Source organism: Homo sapiens, chromosome 4, assembly GCF_000001405.40.
Source record: "Homo sapiens chromosome 4, GRCh38.p14 Primary Assembly".
Taxonomy (NCBI): domain Eukaryota; kingdom Metazoa; phylum Chordata; class Mammalia; order Primates; family Hominidae; genus Homo; species Homo sapiens.
The window spans coordinates 43,898,562-43,906,423 of NC_000004.12; the positions used below are offsets into that span (position 1 = coordinate 43,898,562).

A 7,862-nucleotide genomic window follows, 5' to 3' on the forward strand; every position below is an offset into this window, starting at 1 on the left:
ACAGATTTTTGAATGGACTCTACAATAAAAGCTACAAAAAAGGTAGGACATATTTGCTTACCTTTAATGAGGGCAAGCTCGTGACCTGTTAAGGAGACCCATTCCAGCACTGGACACTAACTTCTTAAAGAAGATAAAACTTATATTGAATTGAATTTGGCTCCCTAGAATTGCCAATCACTACTGAATTCTTCAATTTGTAGACATCTATCACAAATCTAATATTTTTCTCTATTACAGAGACATATTCATTTCACAATACAGAGTAGTATCTTGATTGTTAGCCTAAATTAACTTAACAGTTATTTCTGCCTGATCTTAAATGTTATATAATAGAAATATTATATATTTCTAAGGGCCTCAGAATCGTGCAGGCGCAATTGTGCCCTGGGTCGCCAAGATGTTGTTCCCATAGTATAAGCCGTCGAGCCTGGCCACTGTGCCTGAGACCCTCGACCCAGCCGAATACAACATATCTCTGGAAACCCAGCGGGTGCAAGCCGAGCGGTTGGCCATAAGAGCCCGGCTGAAACGAGAGTACCTGCTTCAGTACAATGATCCCAACCGCCAAGGGCTCATCGAAAATCCTGCCTTGATTCGTTGGGCCTATGCAAGAACAACAAATGTCTATCCTAATTTCAGACCCACTCCTAAAAACTCACTCATGGGAGCTCTGTGTGGATTTGGGCCCCTCATCTTCATTTATTATATTATCAAAACTGAGAGGGATAGGAAAGAAAAACTTATGCAGGAAGGAAAATTGGATCGAACAGTTCACCTATCATATTAAGTCTGGCAATGATGACTATATGTATCCCTGCATAAATAAATTGACTATTAATAAAAAAAAAAGAAAAGAAATATTACTCTCCAGGGTTCTCTATAGTACACAGGTGAGTATAAGTGACAAAAATTGTATCTATAATGAATTCCCCTAATTAATTAGTATATTTTTAAAAGGCGGTGGTTTGATTTAACTTTCCAATTTATATTAACTTATGATGAATAGAAGCAAACACAGATTGATTATTTTCAAGCAATGCTGTAGTACCTATGTATGCCAGGCACTCTTCTAATAAGTTCGCAAAAATTTATTTATTTAATTCTTAAACCTACAAAGTAAATACTTTAATTATCCCTATTTTATGAAAGAAAAAACTGAGAATTTGAGAATAAGGCATTGAAGATCATATAACTAGTAGAGTTGATATTTGATTGCAGGTAGATGGCCTCCAGAGCACTTTCTCTTAACTAAGCAATCTTATAAAATAGCTATTACTAGAAATGTAGAAACTGAGGTAGAAAGAAAATAATTTTCTCATGATTATAGATAAGTAGAAATCTGAGATCCAAACTCCAAAAAAAAAGAAAACTTAAAACATAAATTAGTATGAATTAATATAAAATAAAGATAATTGAAAACTAAGGCTTTACTAAACTTCATCAAATTGAATTGATGAATTCAATCTGGTGATATTATAGATAGGCTATTTAGCAGTTTATGCTCAAATCCACTAACTCAACAGCTTTCACTTTCCAAACAACAAAAATTTAAGCTCATCTTTTTTTTTCTTTTTTTCTAATCTCCAAGAGTCAATGGGACCCACTAAAACACACAACTGACATTCATGGCATTGCCTCTACTTCACATCTGTTTCAACTGCTGCTTCAGATACCTGTCTTGACTGCTGGCAGACGTTGCTTTTCTTATTTCTTTAATGCACCACTCTGCTGGGCTCCCTGATGCTTTTGTGCAACCATGCACACAATGACAATGACTTCCTCTGATTTTGATTCACCTAGAAATGTCTTTTTATTTCTGTGCTTCACCAATTACAGCTATGTTCCTAGATGCTTCTGATTTAGAAGTTTGAAGTAAGAAAATGCTTATTCTATCTCTGATGGTATTTTATAACACAACAGCTTGTGTCCTATGTGGATAACAAATGTTGACTTTGCAGCAGCCACTCAGACCTCTTCTTACGACCAAACTTCAATTTCCCTCTGGTGAAACACCATTGCTCTCACTTTCAGGCCATTAAAGTTCAAGTCAAGCTGACACCATCTCTAATGCAAGGAATGAGAACATATCTTAAGCTAATATTACAAAAGTGTTTGGTAATTTGGTAGAAATATGACTCAATCAGGACAATTACATTAAAAATACATTGGCAGTATGTTATGTGAAAAGGTCACTTAATTTTGCTCTGAGACCTGGAATTCAAGAACTACATAAACACTATCATTTTGTTGTTAAACGAAGCTTCAGAATAAAGACAAGACATTGCAAAACAAGCAAGAATTGGATAGAAATCACATCCTGCTGATAATGTTTCTGCCCTGAATTGAGTCATTTCTAAAACTTGCATACCACCAGGCATTTCTGGTTTGAATGTTCTGCAACTTGCGACAGCAACAACAAAAGTTCGAACTGAGTATCTTACCTGTGATTCTTAGAAAGCCAACTCTCAGGCAAATATTTTATTTGCTACTACTTCATTAGGTGTTCAATCCAAGGAAGCAAACGTGAGGACAAAGAAAATCACAGGCAAAGACAGAGAGCCGATTTGAGGCCATTAGGGATGACTGATTCTTAGCCACTTTGGATCTTCTTCTGAGAAGTCAATATAGTACACAATCTATATATCAGAATAGTCCAGTGATGGAAGGTGTGGAGAAATGGAATGGTAAATATACCCATCAGCTCCTGTTTCTCATTGGTGAAATGCTAAGCCCACAGACAGACTGCTATGTCTCCCCATATTTCTGGGTTGAAAAACATGGGTGCTAAACAGGGTCCCAAGGTGTCCTGAAAATTTATATTGACAATGACTCTCTCCAAACTCTAGCCAGGCTTCTCTCATCCCTGCTTTGACTAGTCTCTGTCGTTGGGCCTTATACTCAAGAGGAAGAATTCTGCTAAGTCAGTTTAGTAAGAACCCCCGCACCATTAATATCTGATCACTCTCAGTATCTTACTGGGTTTCTCATCCTCCAGCATCCCCCAGGTGATACCTAATTACCCTCACTTGCCTTCAGCAAGCATTATGTTAGATCGGTTTAGCTAGAAATTTTCCTGATGTTTCCACTTAGTAACTTTCTATCCCCTGACCCCCAGTCTGCTTATTGGCTATAAATCCCCACTTGTCCATGCTGCATTCAGAATTGAGCCCAGTTTTATAATGAGGTCTCTTTTCCCCTGCTGCAATAGAAAAATATGTTTTCACCACTTTACTACTGTCAGGCTCTTGCTTTTCTTTTAAAAACATCAAAAGAAAGTCTGGAGTGGGAAGTAAAGGGCTGAGGTATTGTCAGATGCACCTTCTTGGTGCTGATCAGTGCCAAGAATAGGCTGATCATGGTGGTGGTGGTTAGAACAAAAGGAGGCTGCATGAGGATCTAAAGTGCTTCACAGCAGGCGCCTAACAAACTGATGCACCCTAGTGATTTAGTTCTTACCATTTTATTACATGGCACTAGGAGGGTCTCACCAAAGAATTTCAAGAACCTCTAAAATCTCCATTCTTTCCATTTTACTTCACACACATCTCTTTTGTAGGCCACATAGGAATGTTCTTTGACAGAAGCTTGAGTTGGAGTTGATTTAAGTAAATATCTACACTCTATTTAAATTCTCTGGTCTCTTACACCATAAATATACTAAAGATCAGGCACATCTTTCCTCACTTTTGGCACTTTTTGTGTTATGAACTTCATTGTTCAGTAGTTTCCTTTAGGATCTATCCCCTGGTCTTCAAATTCAGTACACATAGCTGTATATAACTGGAACCTGATTGTAGACACGGCATATTATTGTTTTACCCATGGACTCTGGCTCCATATGAAAATCAGATGGGGTTAGCTGTCAGTGGAGTTTCTTCCTATGAAGACTAGACAAAGAGACCAGACATTGCATAAAATATTCTAAATAGATACAAATTTAAATATAAAAATATTTATAACAATGAGAGAAAATCACAACAATAAAATAACAAATACATTAAATGATTAAAGTAATTGATAGTAGACAAGACATAAGAACTAATTACTTAAAAAGAATTAGAAAGTCAAGTAAATAGAAGTATCATATATAGATAGTTATATATAAAATAATATACAGTTGATTCTTGTTATTCTTGGTAGTTATATTTTATAAAGTCATCATAAATGCTAAATTAGCATGTACTGAATTATTTCTCCTAGGGAAAATATAGGGTTAGCTTCCTGTGAGCCTCTGTTCACAACAGTTTTGTTAACTGATCAATACATAGCTTGGTTTTATGTGTGTCTCTGTTTAGACATCTTATTTAATATATATTTTGATTAATTAAAATTGAACTCACAACCAGCAGCAATATAACTCATATATCTAACACACTTATTTTCTCAAGAAGTCCTAGTGATATGGAAGAGGGGCAGGGAAGTGCTGGGAGGAGAAGGTGGGTCCATGGCGAGGGCTCCACCCCATCACAAATGTAGGTGAAGACAGGCACTCCTGCCTTCCCACTCAAATGTTACATTTCCCAAGAACACCCTGGTCCACTATGCCCCCATCCCGTTCCTATAAAAACTCGAGACCCTAGCATGCACACACTCAAGCGGCTGGACATTTAGAAGAGCGGATCGGTGGAGGAAGACACAAGTGGCTGGACATCAAGAGAGAACATCAAGGGGAGCATGCCGGAAGAAGAGCACACAACAGATGCTGGCACATTGGCAGGCCATTGACCAGTGGAAGGAGGCAGAGTTTGGCCAGGGCAGTCAGAGGAGAGTCCAGGCTGCCAAGCAACCTGACTCCAGGGGAATATCATCTCCCTTCTGGCTCCCCCATCTGCTGAGAGCTACTTCTACTCAATAAAACCTTGCACTCATTCTCCAAGCCCACATGTGATCTGATTCTTCCGGTACACCAAAGCAAGAACCCTGGGATACAGAAGGCCCTCTGTCCTTGTGATAAAAAAGGGCTCTAATTGAGCTGACTAACACAAGCCACCTATGGATGGCTAAACTAAATGAGCACCCTGTAACACACACCCATTGGGGCTTCAGCTCTAAACATTCACCCCTAGACACTGCTGTGGAGTCAGAGCCCCACAGCCTGCCCATCCGTATGCTCCCCTAGAGATTTGAGCAGAAGGGCACTGAAGAAGTGAGTCACACCACCATCGCATGCCCTGCAAGGGGGATAAGGGAAAAGAGAACTTCTGTTTCAACTGGAGGCTTGTTCGGGATCTCTGTAGATGAGTGTGAGCAATGCAAAACTGTTGGGTCTGCCTCTCTTCCCAAACCCTGCTGCCTCTCTCTCTTTTCTGCAGGTAAGAGGCTCTGTTTCCCTTCACGGAGTTTTAAACTGCCCTCACTGGGCCGGTCAAAACCCCCAATTTCGTCTCTTTTCTCTCGCAGTTTGGAATGGCTCTTATCTCTTTCTTTATAACATTAAGAGTTTGGCTACCAGCTGAGGCAACGTTACTAAGTAAAATGAGCAATTTGCTCAGCCACCAAAGGTGCAAATCAGATCAGCTGTTCCTAGAAGTGCCATGTATGTCTCTTTCTCGACTGACAGCTGCAGGCACATACAGCTCAGGGCACCTCTCCTTATCCTTCCCCCTCCCAGCTTGGGTGTCTGGGCGTGCCCAAGGCAGGCAAAGGTCCAGCCAAACAGCCGCAAGGGGGGAGGGAGAAAGCCAAGGCAGTAGCCAGGACCCTACAGGGTGCTTCTTGGCTGTGCCAATGGAACCTTTCCTTCCTTGGCCAAAGAATTCAACCTGGTCTGAACTAGGGGAAGGATGGGAAAGTTATAAGGATTAGAGGGGCTTACTTGCACTAAGCAAAAGATTCCCCCAGAATCCCCTGATTTTTGCCCCTTTAACTATTTTTCTTTCTCTCTCTCTCTTTTTTTTTTCCTTTTTTTAAGTGAGAAGGCTCTCCCTCCCAGCTCTGTTTCTGATAGGGCAGTTAATGGATGAACGACCCTTGCTGGCTGAGAACTGCAAACTCAGCAGGGCACATTTGAGACACTACACAGACACAAAGGGCCTCTGAAATACCTTTTCCTTCCCAAACTTGATTCCAAGCTTCAGGCAGAGGCCCTAGAAAGAAAAACCAGGTCTGAGGGATCCAAAGCCAGACAACAGGCACAATGTAAATGAGCAGGACAAATTCCTGCCAACTGAACCCCACCACATGGAAGGAGGCCATGCTTCATGGCATAAACAGGCTCAGGGAACTCAAGATTTGCTTAGCAGGGAGAAAGGGAAGCATGGGTGAGGGTGGTTGATTCCTATTCTCCAGATTTTCCCTGCTTCATGGGTACATACTGCATTGGTACCTATGGCTGGCACCTGCCAAGGTCACCGGGGCTCACGGACAAGAGGTAGAAGGTGAAGGGAGGATGCTCGCTTTCTCTCTCCATCACATCCTGAGTTTTTCACTGAAAGAAGGAAGGGAGTGAGGGACACGTCTATTCCCTGTCTTTCAGAATGGGCCACCAGTTCTCTTCACCACCCTCAGCTTACACTCCTCTGGAGTGTATCCTGAACTATTAGGACTGCTTTGACCCTCCGAATCTGAAGGAAAAGCACCTCATAGCCCTCTGCACAAAGATTTGGCCAAATTATGATTTACTGGAAGAACTGGCTTGCCCTCAGGAAAGAACCATCCATTTTGATATCATCCAGCAATTGGAACTTTTCTGTAGACATGAAGACAGATGGTCTGAGGCCCATATGTGCAGGCTTTCTATACCTTGCAAGGCAATTCAGCCCTTTGCCGACAATGTAGGGTTGATCCAGCCCTCCTGTTTGTTGTCTCAGGGAAGGCTGCAAGGGGCAAGCCCAGTGAATTAAAGATACAAATCCCAGAGGCATTCTCAGCAGAGGAGCCATCTCCCTCCAGTCCTGCTCCTCCATGTCCACCCCGACCTCCCTATCCAGCTTCAGCCTCTCACTTGCTCCCTTCTAGAAAACCTCACCCCAAACAAGCCCCAATCTCACTCTTGCCCCTCCAACAGATGCCCAGTGAATCTGGGCCCAGTAAAGTCCAGGTCCCCTCCTCCCTACAGGACTTAAAGCAAATTAAGGGGGATCTTGGAAAGTTTTCAGATGACCCTGATATATAGAGGTTTTCCAGAATTTTACCCAAATATTTGAACTATCCTGGAGAGAGGTTACGTTACTTTTGAATCAGACCCTGACAGACAGAGAGAAACCGGCTGCTCTGCAAGCAGGAGACAGATTTGGGGATGAGCTTTGTATCACATGGAGCATCAGGAAGGGGGGCAATTAGTATCCAACTAGAAGAGAAACAATACCAATGAATGACCCTAAATGGGATCCAAATGACGAGATGGAAGACTGGAAAAGGAGACGCTTTCAGGTGTACATTATGGAGGGCTTACCTAGGGCTAAGACCAAGCCTCTCAGTTATACTAAGTTGTCCATTATCAACCAGGGATTTGATGAAAATCCCACTGCCTTCCTAGAAAGGCAAAGACAGGTGTTAGTAAAGCATACCTCTCTATCTCCTGATTCAGCTGAGGGATAGCTAATCCTAAAGGATAAATTTATTACTCAGGCAACTCCTGACATCAGGAGGAAGTTGCAGAAGTGGGCCCTGGGACCAGATAGTACATTAGAGGACCTCCTGAAAGTGGCCACCTCGGCTTTCTACAATAGGGACAAGGAGACACAAGAAAAAGACAGGAGCTTTAATGGCCACTGTGCAAGCCCACAAACCCCCAAATTCCCAGGGTACTCCTATTAACTGCTAAAGATATGGCAAGAATAGTTATCTCTCTTCTAAAGTTTAACTGCTCCCATACAAGGTTTAATTTATTTCACTAGGGTGAGACAGCTCAGGGTACA

General features: G+C 41.7%; 1 pseudogene; it reads left to right on the forward strand.

Annotated features, from left to right (window-relative positions):
• On the forward strand, positions 377-842 carry NDUFB4P12 (NADH:ubiquinone oxidoreductase subunit B4 pseudogene 12; annotated as a pseudogene).